This window comes from Homo sapiens, chromosome X (assembly GCF_000001405.40).
Source record: "Homo sapiens chromosome X, GRCh38.p14 Primary Assembly".
In the NCBI taxonomy this organism is placed as follows: domain Eukaryota; kingdom Metazoa; phylum Chordata; class Mammalia; order Primates; family Hominidae; genus Homo; species Homo sapiens.
Window position 1 is genome coordinate 41,501,344 of NC_000023.11, and position 24,369 is coordinate 41,525,712.

A 24,369-nucleotide genomic window follows, 5' to 3' on the forward strand; every position below is an offset into this window, starting at 1 on the left:
GGAGTGCGGTGATATGATTTTGGCTCCCTGCAACCTATGTCTCCCAGGCTCAAGCCATCTTCCCACCTCAGCCTCTTGAGTAGCTGGGACTACAGGCACATGCCACTATGCCTGGCTAATTTTTGTATTTTTTATAGAGACAAGGTTTCACCATGTTGCCTAGGCTAGTCTCAAACTCCTGGGCTCAAGCAGTCCTCCCATGTTGGCCTTCCAAGGTGTTGGGATTACAGGCATGAGCCGCCATGCCTGGCAGTTCACTCCCTTAATAGGGGAAAATCCATATAATTATCTCAATAATGGCCAAAGAATTTATTTGGGCCAGGCACGGTGGCTCACGCCTGTAATCCCAGCACTTTGGGAGACCAAGGTGGGTGGATCACGAGGTCAGGAGATTGAGATCATCCTGGCTAACATTTGAAACCCCGTCTCTACTAAAAAAACAAAAACAAAAAACAAAAAAAATGAGCTGGGTGTGGTGGTGGGTGCTTGTAGTCCCAGCTACTCGGGAGGCTGAGGCGGAGCTTGCAGTGAGCCAAGATCACGCCACTGCACTCCAGCCTGGGTGACAGAGCTAGACTCCATCTCAAAAAAAAAAAAAAAAAAAAAGACATTATTTGATAATGTTCAAAACACATTCCTGATAAACATTCTTGACAAACTAGGAATAGAAAATAAGTCAGCGTTCTAGAATCAAGAACCATTCTAGCTAGTTTAAGTACAGAAGGAATGTATTAAAAGCTATTAGGTCCACACAAGGTAGCTTTTAATTACAAAGGGGAAAATCAGTAACTTAATAGTGGAGAAACCTGGTAGGCACCACTTTAATAAAGTGATCAATGTTCACATCACCAGAAATCAGACAAATTGACAACTTGTGCCTCCTGATATAATGCACTAAGAAGGACACACTATCACTTCTGTGGTATTCTTACAGAAATGCATACCTGAATTTAATCATGAGGAAACATCAGAGACACCAGAATTGAGGAATGTTCAACAAATAACTGGTACTCTTCAAAAGTGTCAAGGTCATGAAAGACAAAGGAAGACTTAAGAACTAGCCCAGATTGAAATAGACATGATGATGACTAGGATGATGTGTGATCCTGGACCAGAAAAAGGAGGACATTAGTGAGGCAACTGGTAAAATTTGAATAAAGTCTCTAAATTAGATTACAGTAATGTATTAGTGTTAGTTTCTTAATTTTCATCTTTGTACTGTTGTTATAGTTTTACATTTTACATTTTTTAATTTTAATTTATATATATATATATATATATATATTTTTGTTTTGTTTTGAGACGGAGTCTCACTCTGTCACCCAGTCTGGAGTGCAGTGGCGTGATCTTGGCTCGCTGCAACCTCTGCCTCCTGGGTTCAAGCAATTCTTGTACCTCAGCCTCCTGAGTAGCTGGGAACTACAGGTGCCCACCACCAAACCCAGCTAATTTTTTATTTTATTTTATTTTATTTTTTTCTGAGACGGAGTCTCACTCTGTCGCCCAGGCTGGAGTGCAGTGGTGCGATCTCGGCCCACTGCAAGCTCCGCTTCCCGGGTTCACGCCAGTCTCCTCCCTCAGCCTCCGGAGTAGCTGGGACTACAGGCGCCCGCAACCGCGCCCGCAACCACACCCGGCTAATTTTTTGTATTTTTAGTAGAGACGGGGTTTCACCTTGTTAGGCAGGATGCTTTCAATCTCCTGACCTCGTGATCTGCCTGCCTCGGCCTCCCAAAGTGCTGGGATTACAGGCGTGAGCCACCTTGCCTGGCAATTTTTGAATTTTTAGTAGAGATGTGGTTTCGCCATGTTGGCTGGGCTGGTCTCCAACTCCTGACCTCAGGTGATCCACCCACCTCAGCCTCCCAAAGTGCTGGGATTACAGGCATGAGCCACCGTGCCCTGCCTTTACTGTGTGTGTGTGTGTGTTTTTTTTGACGGAGTCTTATTCTGTCGCCCAGGCTGGAGTGCAATGGCATGATCTCGGGTCACTGCAACCTCCACCTCCCGGGTTCAAGAGATTTTCCTGCCTCAGCCTCCTGAGTAGCTGGGATTACAGGTGCGCACCACCACGCCCAGCTAATTTTTGTATTTTTAGTAGAGACGGCATTTCACCATGTTGGCCAGGATGGTCTCGATCTCTTGACCTCCTGATCCACCGACCCCGGCCTCCCAAAGTGCTGGGATTACAGGTGTGCACCACCATGCCTGGCCCTATACTGTTATATAAAATATTAGCATTTAGGGAGTCTGAGTATATGGAAATTCTTTGTACTATATTTGCAACTCTTTTCTTTTTTTAAAAAAATATTCAGGCCGGGCACAGTGGCTTATGCCTGTAATCCCAGCACTTTGGGAGGCTGAGGCAGGTGGATCACCTGAGCTCAAGAGTTTGATACCAGCCTGAGCAACATGGTGAAACCTCGTCTCTACTAAAAATACAAAAATTAGCCAGGCATGGTGGCGTGCACCTGTAATCTCAGCTACTCAGGAGGCTGAGGCAGGAGAATGGCTTGAACCTGGGAGGCAGAGGTTGCAATGAGCCAAGATAGCGTCATTGCACTCCAGCCTGGGCAACAAGAGCGAAACTCCATCTCAAAAAAAGAAAATAAATTCATTTATTTTTGTGGAGACAGGGTCTTACTGTGTTGTCCAGGCTGGTCTTGAACTCTCAGCCTCAAACAATCCTCCTGCCTCGGCCTCACAAAGTACTGGGATTACAGATGTGAGCCACTGTGCCCCACCTATATTTGGAACTTTTTTGTTTCAAAGTATCTCAAGTTTAATTTTTTAAATTTAGAATTTAAAAAACTATTAGGGTAGATCAAAGAATCCTGGGGTGAGCTGGGCATGGTGGCTTGCACCTGTAGTCCCAGCTACTCAGGAAGCTGAGGTAGGAGAATAGGTTGAGCCCAGGAGTTTGAGACCAACCTGGGCAATATAGTGAGACTCCATCTTTAAGAAAAAAAAAAAAGGAATTCTGGCATGGACCAGACATTCAATAGTGAAGAAAAAAAAAAAGAAAGAAAATCCAAACTGTCTTGAGGGGTTCCTCCGGCGAAGCCCCATGGCCACTGCTGCTGGGCATGGGAATCAGAACCTCTGTCACCTCTGCCCCTGACAGCCAGATGCCACCACTGCCATCCTGATTATAAAGCTCCTCATTGGACACTTACTCCTCATGTTGCTTTCTTCTGAATCCAGGTGCCTTACAGGGGCAGAACCTAGATCACACACATGCCTGGTTGTCAGCTGCAAGGGAAGCTGAGAAAGAGAGCCTGTGGCTTCTACTTTGAGATTTACTTATAATGTAGGAAATTCCAAATTTCAGAGGTTGTTCAAAAAATGCCAGGCCCATTCTGTGGTTTGCCTTTTCAGCTTCTTCTTCTTCATCTTCTTTCTTTTTTTTTTTTTTTTGAGAGAGGGTCATGCTCTGTGGCCCAGGCTAGAGTGCAGTGGCATGATCACAGCTCACTGTAGCCTCGACCTCCTGGGCTCAAGCAATCCTCCTGCCTTAGCCTCCTGAGTAGCTGGGGCCACAGACACACACAACCATGCCTGCTTAATTTTATTTTTTGTAGAGACGGGATCTCACTATGTTGCCAAGGCTGCCTTTTCAGCTTTTTATTATATGTTTTGATGAATAGATCTTAATTCTTAACATCCCAAATTTAATAGTCCAATTTATTAATCTCTTTCTTTATGGTTTGTGCTTTTGTGTCCTGTTTAATTTAGCTTGGAAGTTATACATTCTCATTTTTCTTTTAGTGGTTGCTCTAAGCTTGCATCCTTGACTTGCCAAATTAATTAATCCTAATCCCTTCTCCCTTGACAATGTAAAGACTTTAAGACATATTAACTCTATTTACCTCCTTTGCAACTTATATGTCAGAGTTATCATGTATTTTAAATCTTTTTAAAATTTTTTTTTGAGACAGGGTCTCACTCTGTTGCCCAAGCTGGAGTGCAGTGGCACAATCTTGGCTCACTGCAGCCCCGACTTCCTGGGCTCAAGCAATCCTTCCACCTCAGCCTCCTGAGTAGCTGGGACTATAGGTGTGTGCCACCGTGCCTGGCTAATTTTATTTTATTATTTTTAGTAGAGACAGTGTCTCACTATGTTGCCCATGCTGGTCTTGAACTACTGGTCTCAAGCAATGCCCCTGGCTTGGCCTCCCAAAGTGCTGGGATTACAGGTGTGACATGTATTTTAATTCTATGTTTATTTATTTATTTATTTATTTATTTATTTTTTGAGACAGGGTCTCCCTCTGTCATCCAGGCTGGAATGCAGTGGTGCGATCTCAGCTCACTGCAACCTCCACCTCCCTGGTTCAAGTGATTCTCCTGCCTCAGCCTCCCGAGTAGCTGGGATTACAGGCACATGCCACCATGCCCGGCTAATTTTTGTGTTTTTGGTAGAGACGGGGTTTCACCATGTCGGCCAGGCTGGTCTTGAACTCCTGACCTCAGGTGAGCCACCTACCTCGGCTTCCCAAAGTGCTGGGATTACAGGCGTGAGCCACCGCGCCCGGCCTAATCCTATGTATATTTAAAACCCAAAAGATCTGATTGCTATTTGTTTATACAGATGTATCCATCTATTTACCTGTTTTCTCCTCATGTGCCTAATTATTTTGTGTCATTTGTCACATTGTATCTGCTAAATTGTAGACATTATTTAAGGCCTAGGAGTATGTTAACTTCCTCCAGGGATGAATGACATTTTCTTCTGGGAAGCACCCAGGACACAACCAAGCTGGGATCACTTCAATCAAATGTCAGGGCTTGAGAAGATCTGAAGGTGAGCAGTTGCTGTGAGGACCGGTTTGAGGTTCACCCTTCCTCCTAGGAGGCAAACTTTCAGGGTCCCCACTGAAAGTGAGAGAAGTACGCTAGCCCCTCTCACTCCAGCAGACACACCCGACTCCAATTCCTTCCCCCAACCCCTGTGCTGGTCGGCTTCTAGGCTGCCTCTTCTGGAGTGGGCAAATGGCACCTGAGGAGAAGTGGCCTTCAGTGCTCTCTCCCTCCCTTGGACATCAATTTTCTCCCAGATCCTGGCCCAAACTATCTTGTTAGTTTGCAAAAGTTTCCAAACAGATGTTTTAAATATTTCAATCATCAGCTGCTTTAGTTGTCTTAAGAATGAGGATTGGGTCCAAATTACATAGTGTGCTATTCATGAAATATAAAATATATATATATATTTTTTTAATTTTGGAGATGGAGTATTGCTATGTCACTCAGGTGGGTCTTGAACTCCTGGGCTCAAGCGATCCTCCTGCCTGAGCCTCCCGAGTAGCTGGGATTACAGGCGTGTACCACCACACCAGAAAAGTGAATTTTTGAAGTTCTTTATAAGTTCTGGATGGCAGTTCCATGTGCTGCTAGTGTCTCCAGGCCTGTGGCTTATCTTTTTAGTTTGTTTATGGGAATTTTTTTTTTTTTTTGGTTAAGAGACAGGGTCTCACTCTGTGGCCATGGCTGGAGTGCAGTGGTGCAATCTATAGTTCACTACAGCCTCAAACTCCTGGACTCAGGCCATTCTCCTGCCACAGCCTCCCAAAGTGCTGGGAGCACCTAGCTTGTTTATGCAGATTTTTGCAAATAAACTTTTCAGTTTTCAATTTCAAGAGATTCAACTTTATCAATCCTTTTCTTTCATAACTTATACATTTTGTGTATATATATGTATATATATGTATATATGTATATATACGTGTATATATATGTGTATATATATGTGTGTATATATGTATATATGTGTATATATGTATATATATGTGTATATATGTATATATGTGTATATATGTATATATGTGTATATATATGTATATATGTGTATATATGTATATATGTGTATATATGTATATATATTATATATGTATATATGTGTGTATATATGTGTGTATATATGTATATATGTGTGTATATATGTATATATGTATATATATGTGTGTATATATGTATATATGTATATGTGTGTATATATGTATATATGTATATGTGTGTATATATGTATATATATGTATATATATGTGTATATATGTATATATGTGTATATATATGTATATATGTGTATATGTATATATGTATATATATATAGCCCAATATGTGTGTGTATATGTGTATGTGTGTATGTGTATGTAATATTTTAAGATTTTCACAGACCTTTCAGCCATCTAAAATTTTATTTTTTATGTATCATGAGGTAGGGATCTAATTTTATTTTTTCCATATGAATAATTCTTGAAGAGTTCATGATTTCACCACTACACTGAAGTCCCATCTTTTTCTTTTCTTTTTTTGAGATGAATTCTCGCTCTGGAGTGCAATAATGCGATCTCAGCTCAATGCAACCTCAGCCTCCTGGGTTCAAGCGATTCTCCTGTCTCGGCCTCCCGAGTAGCTGGGATTACAGGCGTGTACCACCACGCCCAGCTAATTTTTTGTGTTTTTAGTAGAGACGGGGTTTCACCACGTTGGCCAGGCTGGTCTCAAACTCCTGACTTCAGGTGATCTGCCTGCCTTGGCCTCTCAAAGTGCTGGGATTACAGGCGTGAGCCACCGTGCCCGGCCTGAAGTCCCATCTTTGTCATCTTCAGTTTTTCATCCGCCCAGGCTCTGTTTCTGGGATCTCTATTCTGTTCCTAGGGCCCTGCACACTGTGTTCACTACTTCACTTAAGCTCACTAATATATTTTGTTCTCTGATTGGACAACTCTGCCCTTAAGATGTTTATGCTTTTCAGCCTAGTACAACTCTGCCACTGCAGTTTGTTTAGATGAACAAGCTGTGTAGCTCACTTAGCTGAAAATTGCCAGCTTGAGTTCTTAGGCAGAAATCCAAAGCACTTATTGGGATGAATAAATTATTCGGACTGAATTTCATGTCTTGCTATGAGGTGTCCTTTGACTTCGTCCCTTTTCCTCTTTGCCACTCTGTGAGCCCCCAGTTCTCAGGTCTGGCTGGCTAGAGAAGGGTGTCCTCGCAGGGAAGCAGAAATGTTCCCAGGCTCCTGATGGTGGCAGCCAGGCCTAGTGACATGGTGAAAGCGGACCCGGAGAGTGGCTGGCGTCAGCCATTCCCAGGCCATGCTCTCTGCTACGCTCCCATCAGGCAGCCATAAAAGAAGTGCTCAGGTTGATTCACTTTAAAAACTGTACAGAGGCTGGGCACGGTGGCTCAGGTCTGTAATCCCAGCCCTTTGGGAGGCCAAGGCGGGCAGATCACCTGAGTCCAGGAATTCAATATCGGCCTGGCCAACATTGCAAAACCCCACCTCTACCAAAAATACAAAAATTAGCCAGGCGTAGTGACAGGCGCCTGTAATCCCAGCTACTCGGGAGGCTGAGGCAGGAGAATCACTTGAACCCAGGAGGCGGAGGTTGCAGTGAGCTGAGATCACACCACTGCACTCCAGCCTGGGTGACAGAGTCAGACTCTGTTTCAAAATAAATAAATAAATAATAATAATAAATAAATAAAATATTACAAGTAGACTTGTAAAATAAAGAAAAACTTCATTGATTATCCTATCATAAAGCACTGTTTAAATTTGGGGATATTTAGTAATATTTATGGTTAAGAGCCCTCAGGTCAGAGGACTCAGGGTGGAGGTACGCTGAGGCATGCAAAGCACTCAGTGACCGGAACATCAGAGTGACGGCTCAGTCAATGGTACTGATTGCCTTTTTACAAAAATTTTTTAATCAGGGTTTGCTATGTCGCCCAGGCTGGTCTCAAACTCCTGGCCTCAAGTGATCCTCCTGTCTAGCTGGGATTACAGGCGTGAGCCACCACACCCAGCTTGATTGCCTTTATTTTTATTTATTTATTTAGAGACAGGGTTTTGTTGTCACCCAGGCTGGAGTGCAGTGGCGCAATCATGGCTCTCTACAGCCTCGACCTCCTGGGCTCAAGTGATCCTCCTGCCTCAGCCTTCTGAGTAGCTGGGACCACAGGTGTGTGCCACCATGTACTGTTTGCCTTTATTATTTTAATTTTTTTTAAATTTACTTATTTATTTTGAGACGGAGTCTCATTCTGTCACCCAGGCTGGAGTGCAGTGGCAGGATCTCAGCTCACTGCAACCTCCACTTCCCGGGTTCAGGTGATCCTCCCGCCTCAGCCTTCTGAGTAGCTGGGACTACAGGCGCATGCCACCACGCCTGGCTAATTTTTGTACTTTTTGTAGAGATGGGGTTTTGACATGTTGCCCAGGCTGGTCTCGAACTCCTGGGCTCAAGCAATTCACCTGCCTCAGCTGCCCAAAGTACTAGAATTACAGGCGCGAGCCACTGTGTCACTTACATTTTCTTGATCATTGAGATATTTTTCAATGTTTTTAATAGTAGCTCTCTGTATAGTCTGTGCAATGTTCATCATGTCCTTTGTTCATTTGTTGGAATGTTAGCATTTTTAACCACTTTATGTCTTCATTGCATAATAAATATATTAACTCTTTGTGTATTATATTTGCTGTAAAATGCCTTTCTTTTCTGTTTGTGGTCTACAAGTTTTCATATCAAAGCTGTAATGGTTTTGGCCGGGCGTGGTGGCTTATGCCTGTAATCCCAGCATTTTGGGAGGCCGAGGTGGGCGGATCACCAGGTCAGGAGTTTGAGATCAGATTCCTAGCCAACATAGTGAAACCCCGTCTCTACTAAAAATACAAAAATACAAAAATTAGCCGGGTGTGATGGTGGGCACCTGTAATCCCAGCTACTCTGGAGGCTGAGGTGGGAGAATTGCATGAAACCACAAGGTGGAGGTTGCAGTGAGCCGAGATCACGCCACTGCACTCCAGCCTGGGCAACAAGAGCAAAACTCCATCTCAAAAAAAAAGAAAAGAAAAAAATGCTGTAATGGTTTCATGGGGTCAAATCTTTCAATTGCTTTCTGACTTTTTTCTCCGGCATAAGGTTAAAAAGTTACCCTCTTCCAGAGTTTTACTGACTACTCATTCTATTTGTTTTCATTTTCTAGCACTGAATTTTAATATTTAACTCTTTAATTGGGCTGAAACTAATTTTGGTATACATATATATATATATATATATATATATATATATATATATATATATAATTTTTTTTTTTTTTTTTTTTGAGACCGAGTCTTGCTCTGTCACCCAGGCTGGAGTGCAGTGGTGCAATCTCGGCTAACTGCAACCTCCCCCACCTGGGTTCAAGCAATTCTCCTGTCTCAGCCTCCTGAGCAGCTGGAATTACAGGTGTGCCCCACCACACCCGGCTTATTTTTGTATTTTTTTTAAGTAGAGATGGGGTTTCACCACGTTGGCCAGGCTGGTCTCGAACTCCTGACCTCGTGATCTGCCTGCCTCGGCCTCCCAACGTGCTGGGATTACAGGTGTGAGCCACCGCACCCGGCCAATGAACAGTCATTTTATAAAGGCCCAGAAAAATCATTGTGTGGCATTTGATTTGGTATTATATTAAGCCTACATTAATTTGGAAAGAACTGATGCCATTAAAACATTTAATTCTTTCATCCAAAAACATGTCTCTGTTTATTTGCATCTTTTATATTCTCAGTGCAGCTTTGCCCTTTTCTCATATCGATCCCATGGATTTGTTAGTTTGAAAACACTTGTTGCATTTGAGAATGGCATCCTTTCCCCATTTAATTTTCTAACTTTACTGTGAATATACAAGAATGCTATTGATTTCTGGGTGTTTTTGTATCTGCTCTTTATTATTTATTTATTATTTATTTTTTGAGACAGGGTCTTGCTCTGTCACCCAGGCTGGAGTGCAATGGCGCAATCTCAGCTCACTGAAACCTCCACCTCCTGGGCTCAAGTGATTTTTCTGTCTCAGCCTCCCGAGTAGCTGCTTTGTAACTCAGCTACTTGTTGTCTGGTTGTCCTTTTTTGTGTTTCAAGGTATACAATGATATTATTAGCAAATATGGACAATTTTGTGTCTTTTCCAATGGTTATACTCTGTTCTGTTGTTGAGAAATGCTTTAAAAGCAATAGTAGCATTTTGGGAGTCTGAGACTGGCAGATCGCTTGAGCCCAGGAGTTTGAGACCAGCCTGGGCAACATGGCAAAACCTCGTCTCTATAATAACAAAATACAAAAATTAGCCGGGCATGGTGGTGCCTGTAGTCCCAGCTACATGGGGTGATGAGGTGGGAGGATGCCTTGAGCCCGAGTTTGAGGCTGTAGTGAGCTGTGATCACACCACTGCACTGCAGACTCGGTGACAGAGTGGGACCCTAAAAAGATAAATAAATAAAAGCAATAGTAAATAATTATGATGGAGGAAGATATGTTATGTAATAGAACAGTGTGTTTAGTATGACTTTCTTACTGTATTAAAAATATGTATAGGGCCAGGTGTGGCTCACATCTGTAATCCCAGCACTTTGGGGGGCCCAGGTGGGAAGACTACTTGAGCCCAGGAGTTTGAGACCAGCCTGGGTGACATGGTGAAACCCCATCTCTACAAAAAATACAAAAATTAGCTGGGTGTGGTGGCACAGGCCTGTAGTCCCAGCTACTGGGGAGGCTGGGGTGGGAGGGTCACTTAAGTCCAGGAGGTTGAGGCTACAGTGAGCTGTGATTATGCTACTGCACTCCAGCCTGGGCAACAGAGTGAGAACCTGTCTCAAAAATGAAAAAAAAAACCAAAAAGCAAAACATATATATATACACACACACACACACACACACACACACACACACACATACATAAATTTATACTAGCCTGCTAGCCTGACAGATATACATAGATATGTTTATAGCAGTTGGCTCTGCATAGCAGAATGTGGTTGAATCTCCCTTTTTTTTGTTTGTTTATCCATATTTTCTAATCATTCTATGATGATCACGTGTTATTTAATTTTTAAATAATGGCAATTTTACTGCTTTTGTTCTGTCACTTCTAGGTGGATTATGTTGGCTGTGGGTTGAAACAGTTATTCTGTATATGCTAAGAATATTTCCTATCTTATTTTTAAGGGTTTTTTGTTTGTTTTTAAATTAGAACTGGGTGTTGAATTTTGTGAAGTGATTTTTTTTTGGCAGCTGCAAAGATGATCATGGTTTTCCTTGTTTCTTTTTTGTAACTGAGACATATTTTACAGAAAATAGAATGCACAGATCCTAGGTGTTCAGTCTGATGTGTTTTGACCATTGTATACACCCATGCAACCACCACTGAAAACAAGAAATGAACATTTCCACCACCCCCAGAAAGTTCTGAGGGAAATTCTGTGGTAAGCTGTTGATCTGTGTGGCTAAGCTGCTGCCACCTGCTTTGTACATGGTCTCCATTTCCCCATCTCCGGCCTCAGTTTAACATCCTGCAGGCCCGAAGCCACTTTTTTTTTTTTTTTTTTTTTTTTTGAGACTGAGTTTCCCTCTTGTCACCCAGGCTGGAGTGCAGTGGTGCAATCTCCGCTCACTGCAACCTCCGCCTCCCGGGTTCAAGCGATTCCCCTGCCTCAGCCTCCTGAGTAGCTGGGATCACAGGCATGTGCCACCACACCCGGCTAATTTTGCATTTTTAGTAGAGACAGGGTTTCTCCATGTTAGCCAGGCTGGTCTCAAACTCCTGACCGCAGGTGATCCGCCCGCCTTGGCCTTCCAAAGTGCTGGGATTACAGGCATGAGCCACTGTGCCCGGCCTGAAGCCACTTTTGAGGTCCCAGCAGGCTGCCCCCTCTGTCACTCTCAAGTTGTTCATCAGACCATTCTGGTGGCAGAAAGGAGCCAGATTCTCTGCAGGGCAAGTGGCCATGGGGGGAGGGTTATAAAGCTGCCTTTGGAGGAGCGAAGAGGGCAACAGCAGTAGATTGAAGCTTTTCAAGATCCTGCCTAAGAATGCATCTATGGCAAAAACATTTCTGGGCACCACCGCCTGAAAGGTTTATTTTTTAATTTTTTTTTGAGATGGAGTCTTGCTCTGTCACCCAGGCTGGAGTGCAGTGGCACAATCTCGGCTCACTGCAACCTCTGCCTCCCGGGTTCAAGGGATTCTCCTGCTTCAGCCTCCTGAGTGGTTGGGATTACAGGCACGCGCCACCACGCCCAGCTAATGTTTGTATTTTTAGTAGAGACGGGGTTTCACCATGTTGGCCAGGCTGGTCTCGAACTCCTGACCTCAAGTGATCCACCCGCCTTGGCCTCCCAAAGTGCTGGGATTACAGGAGACAGCCACTGCACCTGGCTTCAAAGGTAATGATGGGTGAGGAGATTAGGGAATACGTGTGGTGGGTGCAGTATTTCCGACAGTGCCACAGCCATGGGATTTTATCTGCAGGCCCCATGCCTTGTGTGTGTGCTCACTTGTTGTTAAAGTCACATACCACTTTCTGGAACATTCTCTCCCAGAGCATCCCTTCCTTTAGTGGCTGGGTGGCTTACTTGCACTACAACACTGACCTTTCATGGGACTTGCAACCTTCAGTGACCTTGAACTCTGTCTATTACCCTGCACCAATCTCATTGCATTCTTTCTGCATGATGTGCTGTTCATAGCGGTTCATGGAATGATCCCTAGTGTTATTTCTTCAGTTTATCATGTTATAGCAAATTGGGCAAAAACACAGAAAAGACATGTTTATATTTTTCGACCAGCTTAATATTACCATGTTGGATGTGTTTTAAATACCATGAAGTTCAAAAAATGAGCTTAATGGTAGCATTTTGCTTTCCGTCCTCTGTATATCTAGGGTAAGAAGTCTGTACAAAGGTAACAGGATTTTCTGAACTAAAAGGCCAGGGGCTCAAATTTTGGGTCTGAATGTGGCCTAAACTCTTCTATACAATTTTTGTAGCGTGATATTTATTTGAGTAAAGCAAATAATCACTGGTAGTTTATGTTTCCTTCGTATGTGTCTTCTGAAAGTGAGCCAGGTAAGCTCATTCAGGCCTGGGCTCTTTCTAGGGTGTGTGTGACACATACAAGTGTTGTCTCTGAAGCCACCATGGTTCCTTGCTTGGGCAAAGCGTAGGGCAAGGGCAGGGAAGGAATCGTGTGTAAACCAGGTTAGTGAGGCACGCCAGGAAGCATGTCCCAGACTCCAGCCAGAGACCAAATCAAACCATGAAATCACAAAGGCACTGGGCGGAGCGGCAGTCCTGGAGCAGGCGTCCTCCCACGGCTCTTGATGCAAATGTCAACCAAGGGCCACATTTTCCATGCTGTGGCACCTACACCACCGAAATCAATTTAGACTTCTATTTCTAGGAGATGTCACAACTTAGACTTTTTCTTTTTTCTTTTTTTTTTAAGATGAAGCTATTTTAAGCCTGCATCCAAATGCAAGCAACTGAGCTGGAACTGCTTGCAGGATGCCGTCTGTTAACAGCCATGGCTGAAGACTGAAACCTGCAGGATGGGCACCAGGAGCCTGGGTCGTGCTCCTTTACAGGGCCAGGAGCTGTCCCTCTGCAACACCCCCACCCCACCCCAACCATTGTGGGAAGGTGTCTGAGGCCTAACTGTGTGGATGAACTCTGCAGAGGCCTTTAGAAATCAGGCCATCCCTCTTCTTTTAACCCTCTGTTGTTTGTCCCCAAGCTGTTTGGCCTGCAATCTGAGGAGACAACTGCCTTTTCATGTTTTATACATTTTATTCATACATTTCTCCAACTTTGAAATGACAAAAGCCCAATTCTATGGTTTCCCATTACACAGCATCCTACAGGTATGTATATTCTACAAGGAATACTATGGAGTTTCTCTTCTTCCCCTGTCACACAAGATAACTGATTAGGGTTTCATCAACTTGTACTGTGCCGGCAGCGCACCAGCATTCTGGTTGTTCCGGCGACAGGGCAAAGGGATCAGGATGGGAGGGCGTGTGCTAAGGCATGTAAATAGATACACACAGAGAGAAAGAAAAGCAGGACATTTACAAAGAATCCAAACCTTTCCAATCCCTTCAGCTCCTGGGTGTTGAGGGACACCTCCTGCACAAACGCTCTTGCAAGCTAAGGCTCTGCTGTACCCTGCAAATACTTACAATTGGATACGGTGAAATATACAACAACCATTAACATCTCTCTCTTTTTATCACTGAGACAATACTTCAACACCTTTTATAAAAAGGCAATAATACATACAGAAAAAAGAACACGTTGGCAAAACTTTATGCAAAACCACCCCAGAACTGAGTTTGAATGGCGACGTGCCTACACTGCAATTAAACACGATACTCGGGTCTTAGCACGTGAGGATTGGGCGGCCTTCACATCAGTCACGCTGCCTGCTGCACCCGGCAGCCGCCTACCTGCCTGCACAGATGACATTCCGGGAAACAGCTAAGACTGGAAATCAATTCCCCCAATTCTTGGTCTCTTCCAAATAAAAAAAAAATAGGGGGAGCCACTCACTGTGGAGGAATGCCTGTTTCTGTTCCCAAGGACAATTCTCGCTACAGAGGTTGTACTTCCTCTGGGTCCAGAGAGGGTCACCCCTAAGCCTCTGTCAGTAAGAACACTGGCGTGTTCTCTCAGTCACACACCAGAGAGAATGGAGCTAACACATAAGTAGCAGCTAAATTCTGAGTTTCTGAGCATACGCAGAGATGGAGTTGTGCTTGGGGCCAGAAAGGAGGTCTCCTGTGTGGTGACAAACATCTCTTTCCATTTTCTTTTGCTCAGTCCATTTGCACAGGTTCGAGGGAGTTGATGGAGGGTCAGACGAGAGGTGGTGGGAGCTCAGGATTTTCTATTCCCACAAAGAGCTAAGACTTAGGAGTGCTGGCCCCAGAGATGGTGCGGCCCTCTTTCTACTTCTGTTTCTGTGGGCTCTGTCTGCCCACCTGCTGCACAAAGCAAGGCAGGGGAAAGACCGGATGGGAACATGGTGGTGAATATCCTCTTTTTTTCCCTTTTCCCCCACTTCCTGGATGTAGGTGACAGCTAAACTTCACCCACTAAGCTGGAAAATCTGGGACTCCCCATAGCTCCAAGTTTAAGGCAAACTGATGTGTGTGTGCACAGGCAAAGCCAATCAAGCCATGAGCTTGGAGGAGAGTCCTGTATCCAGAGATTCCAAACAGAGAGGGAAATCTTATTTCTAAAGGAGTTAGAAAAGGAAAGGCTCTGGCAAATGAAATGATCTGTGATTAAAGCTTGTAGCCTTTCTGTAAGCTGCAGTGAGAAGGAAAGCATCTTTTAATAGAAGAATTAATTAGAGGCGCAGAACAAGAAAGCCACGCTCAGGGACCTTTAACTTATTACAGCCTGTAATCGCTCTCAGTATTGTAAGCCCTAGTCAAGAGGATGGAATTAGGAGGCTGTGTTCAGTTCTGAGAAAACAAGAAACACACACGAGTTTGATAATAGGAAGCAAGAAGGAGGAGGGATGAGGATGACAAGGAGCTTGGTTTTGGAATGCCGATTCCAAGGTGCCTTCTCTTTTCAAAGAGACAGTGTGGGAGGCATTTCTATTAAGAATTTGTTAATCAAGCAGTTTTCTTGGTAGCTTTAGCAACACATTCTCTTTGCCCCAAGTTAAGAAACTGGCCTGAAATGAAAAAAAAAAAGGACATGACATCAGTGGGGGACAAAAGAGAGCTGGCTTTGGGCTGCCTTGTTTTTCAGGGGCAGTTTCCACGCTGGGAATCTTCCTGGAGGGTGGTTCAATTGACTAAACTTTTTCAAGAAATAAACTTGAAGCCTTAATGAAGAGACAAATACAAGTGATTTAAAAACAAAAGAACTCTGCAGCGATCAGATCAAAGGCTGTAAAAAGGTAACAGTAGCTGCAGCCCAGGCCTGCCTGGAGCACAGGGGAAGGCTTGGCCCACTGGCTGTCTCTAGCAGCCTAAGAAGGAATTGGACGGGGAACAGGAACACCTCCTGCATTTCTACTGCAGTGGGGGACTTTGCGACATCTTTAGATATTCTGCCACCAATAGGATGGGCTGGGACGATGCCTTCTGAATGCAAATAGCAAGAAGTAGGTCAACCATTTGTTTTCCTCTCTGAGCAAAGATTTTAAATCATCTCACCTGACAAGAGATACATTTAATTGCATTTAAAAAGGCTACAATGTTATCTTGACACTGGGAAACTTCCAGATGAATTAAATTGAGTGACATTTCCCTTTTTAGCATTAAAATGGGATATGCTGTATGTGCAAAGTAATTACTGTCTTGTGACTGGAAAATCAGGACATTTCATCTTTTTAACAAAGAATTCAACATATAAAAACACTCCCTTTCTTGCTGTGGGGAATGGAGTTGGGTGGGGGAGAGAACCTTCAAAATGTGGCTCTCCAATACTTCAATTGACCACTAATAAGATTTAGTACTCTAAACATTCATTCTGGTCTTTAAAAGAAAGAAAGAAAAAAAAAGGTTCTGCTGATGGAATGGAAGCAGTAAAGAAGCTTTTAGCAATTTTCTCTGATTGCTTAGTGGACAATTGTAATGTAGCAGTAGCAGCAGCAGCAGCAGCAGCAGCAGCAGCAGCAGCAGCAGCAGCAGCAGCAATGTACTGAAATTACTCTGAATTCAGAAATGTAAGTATATGCAGCTAGGTCATAAAGACACTGCTTTAGAGAAGACATGTATTAGTGGAATGGAACAGGTAACATCTTTGAGAAGTCAATGAGTTCTGCATGCAGGGATTTCACCATCGGAATGATGGCAAGAATGATGCCTGCCTGTGTGCTTCTCAGAGGACGTATAAAGCCACTGAGGATGAGTGCTACAGTGCTTGTGAATTGTGGGGCCACAGACATTTAAGTTGGCATTGCTTTTCTCCTCCTCTGCTTAATCCACCTTTATAAATATGGCAGATGGCTTAAGACAGGCATCATCAGCATCTCTGGAGATGTGGGCTCAAAGGGCAAGTGGGGGCGTGGGGGTTTCCACTAGAGGGAGGGAAGTTTCTGTTTCCCATGTGTTAGTTGTAGTTGTCTTTGTGCTTCACCAGAAAAGAGGTAGAGTGCGCACCTTCACACTAAGAGCCCGAAATTGTGGTCAGTACCATACCAGGAACGACTGTCTGGCCTTGGCATCTATCAGATTCGAATCAGTTCTAACACAGCCCTACCCAACTCTTTGAAGGTTTCTCTCTCTATCTAGTGTGAGACCACTGTTGAGCTTATCTCTGGTTTGGTGGCTTGGTCACCCCACTGTGGGGCCCATACAGAAGTAGTTCACTCAATACCTTGTTAGTAAGTTGCAGACTCATCTGGTCACTGGCAAAGAACAACATCAGAAAAAAAAAAATCGCCACCATTTAATAATAGGCGGTGGGGGGCGGAGGCGGGTATGGTGTTGACAATGTAAAAGAAGTATACTAATGCCTTCTCTGTTTGGTCCTTTAAGAGGAGCTGTTCAGCTCAGAACACACCCTGCACATCCTGCCAAGGCACAAAGTGACAAGGCCATCTAACCTACAAGAAGCAAAAAATGATGGTATGTTTTCAAGGATCACAGGTTAATATAAGCACTTCACACCCTCACATGCTAATGAAAAACATTCTACTGACCTCTGGCAAAGAGTCTGAGAACCCCAGCCCGAATCTCCTGTATTGGAAGAATGTGACTTCATGGAAGAGTTATGAGATGGTTAATGTCTCTAAAGCAACAAGGACAGATGATTCCCCTGTGCCAAGGGATACAGCAAGAGGAAGGAGAGACCACAGGTGGCCTCCAGTACACCCGTGGCCCTTGGGCGCATGGCTCTGTGCGAGTCAGACGTGGTCCAGCTGTGCTCTGGCAGGCTACTTTGTCACCCTGCCAACTGATACTCACTCCTGGGCCTTCAAAGGTTCAATGAGCATCTAACAAATTATACAATTGTAAAGATTATCAGCTTGGAAGCCTGAACAAATCTATAATGAAATGAAGGACCCAAAGGCATTTAATTATTGAACACATAAAAGGAAGTATATTTAAAAAAAATTGGTCAAACTGTCCTGTTAGTTATCATTTTAAAGGAATTTACAGGGCTGTTATAGATGATTCTTTTGGAATATTTCAGTTTATAGCAAATGCCTAAACTGGTTTCTTCATTGCACAGTATTTTCTCTTAAAATGGGTGCTTTAAAACAATTACATACAGATTAAAAATCATTTCTTTGCTTAATTAAAACGTTAATACTCTTAGACAACACAGATCTGAAATGGTGAAACCAGCAATTCCCCCCACCCCACCTTACAACAAATTAAATTGAGACAAAATTACAAACACATTTCACTACATGATTATTATTAATAAAAATCAGTTTCTTTTTTTTTATAAAGTTGCCCAAAATGCAAGGGATGTGCATAGGTTTACAACTTAGTCATAATAGCATTTTATTCTTATTCCCCTGGGTGTGCCCCATGAACGGAATGTAGAATGTACTTTGCTGTAGATTACAGATTGTTTTGTCCAACACAGACACACCGACAGCATAAACGCTCGCGACTGTCCACATGCATTAAGAGTCAAGACCCAACTTCAAATCTCTAAAAGGTTTACAGGGTGCTTCAAAGAGACAGTATCACATTATCTGGATGTTACATAAAGGACTTAAAAAAAAATACTATTCTAAAAAAAAAAAAAGAGAGAAAAAAGGCCTTTAAAAATTTATGACTGTTTTGTAATCACTACACTAATTATTTCAAATAAATAAAGGAAAGAAAGATATCCCAATATTCCAATCCATAAAATCAGACTCTAAAAAGAATGTAGTGTTCCACCCCCAGTCAAGGTAACAGAATCATTGTTTATTATTATTAAAATAGATTATAGAAAGCAGCATCTATTTTGTGCAGTTTTTAGGGGCCTTGGAAATAAAAAGCTATGATTTCCAAAAATATAACATTCCAAAGGATTGAATAATACATACATTTAAAGATACATTTTATTAAAGTTTAGGAGAACTGATTAAAAAAGATACTGTCTCTTTAAATTAGTGTGTAATTGTTTTTCTCCTCCTATCTATTCGGACATGACAATAATTATAAATGTAGGTCACACTACAACTAGGTAGTCTCTAGGGACCATGACCTGCTGACACAAGGCCGATAACAAAGAGGCTTTTCCACAAATGAGGTGCTCCCAGTTATGCTCAGATATCTGGGGAGAGGCCTAATAGACCCAGGAGACAGGGACCCACTGTGGGGCTGTGCACACGAGCTCAACAGCTTCCTCCAGATGTCTGATTGTCTCATCAATTTCATTGTTGATAATTGTGAGATCGAAGTAGTGTGCATATGTTCTCTGTAAGATGTCAGACTCCTTCTGCAGACGCTGAAGAGATTCATCCTAAATGGTGATGAGATGGAGGTAGGGGTGGGCATGAGAGGAGGGAAAAGCAAACAGAAGAGAGAAATCAGTTGGATTCGTTCTCTTTTCACATTTTTGTTCATCCCAGTGTCAGAAACAGTCAAGGCCAGACCCTGATATGCCATATGCCAGCATGAGGCCAAGTCCGCTCCATGACAGAGGAGACAGTGATTGCTCAACATGCAACAGAGGGTCCATGACAAAGCAGACGAACCAGAGAAAACAGATACTCTTCAGGAAACATGCCACCCCCACTCAGGCCTAGCTGTGCCTGTCCCCAGAGTCAGGCTTGGTAGGGCCATGCCAGGTGTGGGTTACAGTGGCTATGGTGGCCCAAACAGGCCAGCAGGAAGCCCCCCGCCCTAGCCTCAAGCCACTCTCCCAATTGGCGAGAGGGCTACGGTGGCAAGGCTGGAGCTCTTTGCCCCCGTCCCCTTGGTCCTCCACACTCACTGGAGCCAGGCCTCAGGGCCCAGCTGTGTTTGCACCAACAAGTCCCTGCCCTTGGATGACAAATTAAGTTGTATTTTTTCCTCTTCTACTTAAAGGTGCCACACGTTCTAGGAATTCAATTACATATAATGGCCCTCACTCAATAGCAGCTGATGCCAGAGGCAAAAGATCTTTGAGTGTTACAAATAATGGCTGGAATAAGGCTGTTTCCCCAATAAACAGCACCTGGCATCTGATGAATCCCCCCAAATTGGTCTGCATTAGAAGTGGCTAGACAAATGTCACTGTTCGTAGGTCCTCATATCTCTTATGAAAAAAACAGAAGGAAGAGAACTCTAGGGAGTACTGAACTCTAGGGAGGTTTGCTGCAACAAAGGATGTTCCCTAAGCTGCAGCTTGCCACAGATTTTAAGAACTCTTGTAAGAGGGATCCAACAGGAGGAGGGAGTTTAGGGTCCCAGCTTTGTCATGCAAGTATAGCTTCTGCTACAGAGTGGCAGTTCTTTCAAGACAGGGGTCTCTTAAGAGCCACCAGAAAGAAGTCTGCCTCTATATCTTCGCAAGTCATATTTGTCATGCTGAACTCCCAAAGGGCAAGTTCAACCTTGACACTAGGGAACTTTGTGAGTCAAATTAACCACCCCCTACCTGCCAAACACTAGGTGGGTGAGCTCTTGGGCTGAGTCTTAAATATACATAGAGATAACGAAATACCTCTTTATTTGATTAGTGGCTATGTCTCCAGCTAGGGCATAAACTTGTCTTGTGTGCCCTGTAATTGCTGTGCCCCAGCATTAGGCATAGTGCCTTACACATAGTAAGTGCTTAATAAATGCTGTCAAAAGAACAAGCACTTGTCTGACTAGTGCCAGTCATTATAGGGTTTTACAAGTATTAAATCTAAAATCAAGAGACTGAGCAATTCTTCCAGGAAATTGGGGCCCTGGGTGACAGAGACAGATCTCCAGAGAAAATAAAAGATGCGGTACCTTCAAGGACCTAGGAGCCGTAGTACCCAGTACTGGCTTAGGGCCCCTCCCCTCCTCTCCTCTTCTCTAAAGCCCCTCTGTTATTGGCAAGAGACCTTTCCTGGGAGGCTGCTGGGAGGTCCAGGCAAGCCTCAGCTCTCTGGGTACAGCTCTCAAGAAAGGGGACTAGAAGTGAGATAAAGAGACTTGCTTGATTCTGTCCTGGCACTGCAGTGGGCATGCGCAGACACCACAGCAGACAGGAACTCAATCTTTTCTCTCAGGGCACTCTGAACCAAGAATGTCCTACCTGTTTTGTCCTCTTTTACTGGCATTTCAAAGCAGGACAGGGCATGCTTTGAATGTTAGTGTTAAGTACTACAGTGTAGATAAGACCCCAGTTAATCATCACCTTCTAGTTCGGCTTGCACTTAAAAAGCATAGTATTTTCACTGTGGCTTTACTTCATAATCAACACAATGCAAAAAACGCCATTTTAGCAAATGTGCATTCACCCAAAGACAGGAGTGCTTCCTACCAGGATGAAAAGGAACAATTCCTACAACATCACTCTCTGGCACACGGGATTCTATTTGAATATATAGTCCTGAGCTTCAAAAACCACTAGCAGGGTTTATGATTTGCTCAGCAAGCTGGGCTGATGAAAATATTCAAGAAAATTTATGGCTGAAAGTATCACATTTTTAATGTAGGTCTCTTTACAGAAAAATAAAGCTCCCTCTTAAGAATCTTTTAAGACGAAGCTATATTTGTCAGTCTCTTCCTCGACAACAGCTTGTCTGTGTGCTTGACTCACACGTGAGCAGGGTTTAACTCAGTGAAAACAAAATGCCTTTATTCTAACAGCAAAAGCAAGGATTTGTGGGAACAAAGTGTCTACATTCTAAATCTATTAAAAGAAACACGGCTGTATTTCACCACCTCCTAGCTGGTACTTACAGGCAATTTTCTGCACCATTTTGGCAGCTATGGAAAATTAGTAAAAGGGCAGGAAAACAGGCAAAACAAAAACAAAGCAAAGATGATGATTCAAGAAAAATACATGGCAACTGAAGGATAAAAGCTAACCACAATGTGGAGTTTCAAACATGCTTATGTATTAAATAAGATGGGAAGGTAGAATTTTACAAAGGAATATACCTCTTGCAGATGAAATGACAAAAACATAATGACGGAAAATATGAGTAACATAGGTAAATCAAAATCCTGAATCTTCCTTAAAGGTACACAAAGGGAAAATTTCCAAGCCATGATTTAATTAGATTTTAAGCTTGAGTGAGTTTAGGTCAGTGTTGACTGAACAGAGTCAATCAAGAGTCCTCTGATGATTTCTAGAAGCTGTGAAAGCAATGGTCTTCAGGATAACTTGGTATAAGAGTCTCCCCTTAACTAAGGAACCTACAGAAGATAGGCACTGCTACACTTAGCAGACACATGGTAAGTACCCTTTGATCTGCTCAGCAATGGAAAACCTTCTAAGTCAGCAGCCAAGTCTCATGAGCACCATGTCTGTGGCAGTTTCTGACTTGAGCTGGCTTGACAGTGGACAGAGCTGATTTCTAGGTTTGGTAGTCTTCAGGGGCCTGGAGAGAAATTCCACAAAGGTTCCACTCCAGGGGCCACACAATCCCTATCCGGAGAGGGAATAGGCTGGCAGCCCTGGAGGTTGTGAGACACCTGGGATGCCTCGGTCCTGGTGGGAGTGAGGGTGTTTGTCCTCAGATTTTAGAAGTCAGCTTACTGATAAGACTGTCCCATGTAGCATTCTATTCCACATCCCATTTCATCAGAGCAGCCTTGCTGCAAATGTAGACTGACACGCTTCTGACTGTGCTGGGGAGTAAGGCTTGATCCTTACAGCTTATTTGGGGAAAAACAGATTGATTCTTACCTCATTTAAACCTGGAGTAATAGTTGGTGCAGCAATGAAAACAACAAAAGGAGCAAACTCTGCAGTTCTCAGGACCTTCAGTGCCTGTGTTAAGAAAAAAAAAAAAAATCCCGACTTAAAAGAAGAAATAACTAATGTAACTTTCAAATGAGTCTATAAAAATTTTTATACAACTGAAAATTCCAAGCTCTTGGCTCAAATTTTTGGCAAGGTATTATTAAATTTACCAACTTTATACATAACTTATATTACTTTTTTTCTAAAGGATGGACAATAGCCATCAGAAAATAAAAGTTGGCAAACTGGACATTTTTCTTATGACTCATGAATCAATCTATTTTTCTTCATAAAAGTTAACACTGATTATGTTGGTTAATGTTCATTTAAACCTGGCTATTAGTTTTAGCCTGAATTTTAATCAACAGGAAATGCATTTAAGGGGAGACTTGGACCTGCCGGCTGGTTTTACCACTAATCTGGAGGCCACTCCCTCACATTTCAAATTTCAAATTGCTAGCCAAGGATTGCTAGCAAATCTGTCCACTGTAACTGTGTGTTGCTCTGCAGAAAAGCCCCCTGGGACTCCTGGGGAAGGGGGAACCTTGCCCAGGGCTGGAGTTAGGAGCCCTAGACTTTGTGTCTTAGTCCTGTCGCTAAAGACACTGTGTGGCTGTGGGCAATGTATAGGCCCATGAGAAAATGCTGCACTCAAGACAGAAGGGCCTCTGAGATCCCTTTCAGTTCCCTTCTAAGGCATTGAAAACCTCTAAATGCCAGCTACTAGTTTGGATAGATATACTGCAACGCTGCAGTCAGACGCTGTGGGAGTTGATTCTGCTAAGGGATTACTGTTTCAGCTCCTCCCCAGGAGGATATGATTATCTTGGAGGTTACAAACTCCCTTCCAAGGAACAAAACCCAACACATACAGGTACCCAATTCACAAGTGACTGACATGTGATTAATTCATATGCGCTGGGGTAAATATCTTGCTGTCACTTACACAAGAATTTAACTATCCTGCTCCCCACATATTTTGCTCTCTAAATGGTCTTTAAATTTGCTTGCTTCACGCTATTCCTATTGCTCCATCTTTTGCCCAGCTTATTGTAATAGTAATTAGACTGGTTGCCCTGCCTCTGGTTTTGCTGCTTTCCAATCCATACTCTACCCTGCTACTGGAATGATCTTTCTGAAATTCAAAACCCATGGCTCCCCTGCTCAGAATTCAACAGTTCCCTCTTGGCCTCAGGATAAAATGTATACTCCTCAGCATGAATGTCACCTCTCTCCCTCACAAGCATGCCTATGCTTAACCTCTTCAGCCTTTCTCTCTGCTCCTTTGGCTCCATGGACCAGCCTTCCTGAACTACTTTCAGTTCCAGAAAGGGCCAGACTCTCTCTGGCTTCCTGGCCTTTTGATTTACTACTCCCTCTGCCTGAACCTCCCATCCTCTCTTCCCCTTCCCCACTCACTCTTTTGCTTGGCTGAGTAATCCTTCAGAACTCAGTACTGATGCTCTTTTCTTTGGGAAGTCCTTTGTGAGCTCTGAGACCCTCCCATGTGCTCCTGAAGTACCCATCACGTGGGAAACCCAAGACCCCAGGGACTAGCGGGTACCCTCCTTGAAGGGAGGGACTGTGTCTTGTTCAGCTATCTCACTCATGCCCAATATGGCACCCAGCATAAACTGCCCTTATGAAAAAATTAAAATGTAAAAATAGTAGATATAATTTGCACAGAATTTATCTTGTCTTTTAA

At 43.4% G+C, this 24,369-nt stretch overlaps 1 protein-coding gene and 1 long non-coding RNA gene across 13 annotated transcripts in view, besides 2 other annotated features; one reads left to right on the forward strand and one right to left on the reverse strand.

Moving 5' to 3' along the window:
• Window positions 11,277-11,376: an enhancer, noted in NCBI's record as "active region_29560". NCBI's record gives its function as "activates an Ori minimal core promoter by ATAC-STARR-seq in GM12878 lymphoblastoid cells {active_cell/tissue: GM12878}" and the evidence as "EXISTENCE:reporter gene assay evidence [ECO:0000049][PMID:35858748]".
• CASK (calcium/calmodulin dependent serine protein kinase) overlaps window positions 13,591-24,369 on the reverse strand; it is a 408,621-nt gene continuing 397,842 nt past the window's right edge. For all 12 annotated transcript variants that reach the window (NM_001126055.3, NM_001410745.1, NM_001126054.3 and 9 more), the window contains 2 exons: window positions 22,608-22,691; window positions 13,591-19,253 (listed from right to left, as the gene is read on the reverse strand). In NM_001126055.3, coding sequence (NP_001119527.1) covers window positions 19,077-19,253; window positions 22,608-22,691 — 261 coding nt within the window. In that variant the 3' untranslated portion in view covers window positions 13,591-19,076. The remainder of the gene's footprint in view (window positions 19,254-22,607; window positions 22,692-24,369) is intronic.
• Window positions 15,474-15,975: an enhancer, noted in NCBI's record as "NANOG hESC enhancer chrX:41376070-41376571 (GRCh37/hg19 assembly coordinates)". NCBI's record gives its function as "activates a minimal SCP1, AML or CMV promoter by ChIP-STARR-seq in primed H9 embryonic stem cells {active_cell/tissue: H9 hESC(primed)}" and the evidence as "EXISTENCE:reporter gene assay evidence [ECO:0000049][PMID:30033119]".
• CASK-AS1 (CASK antisense RNA 1) lies at window positions 16,419-20,993 on the forward strand. The gene is made up of 2 exons (NR_046581.1): window positions 16,419-19,023; window positions 20,810-20,993. It is a non-coding gene; the product is annotated as a CASK antisense RNA 1 (long non-coding RNA).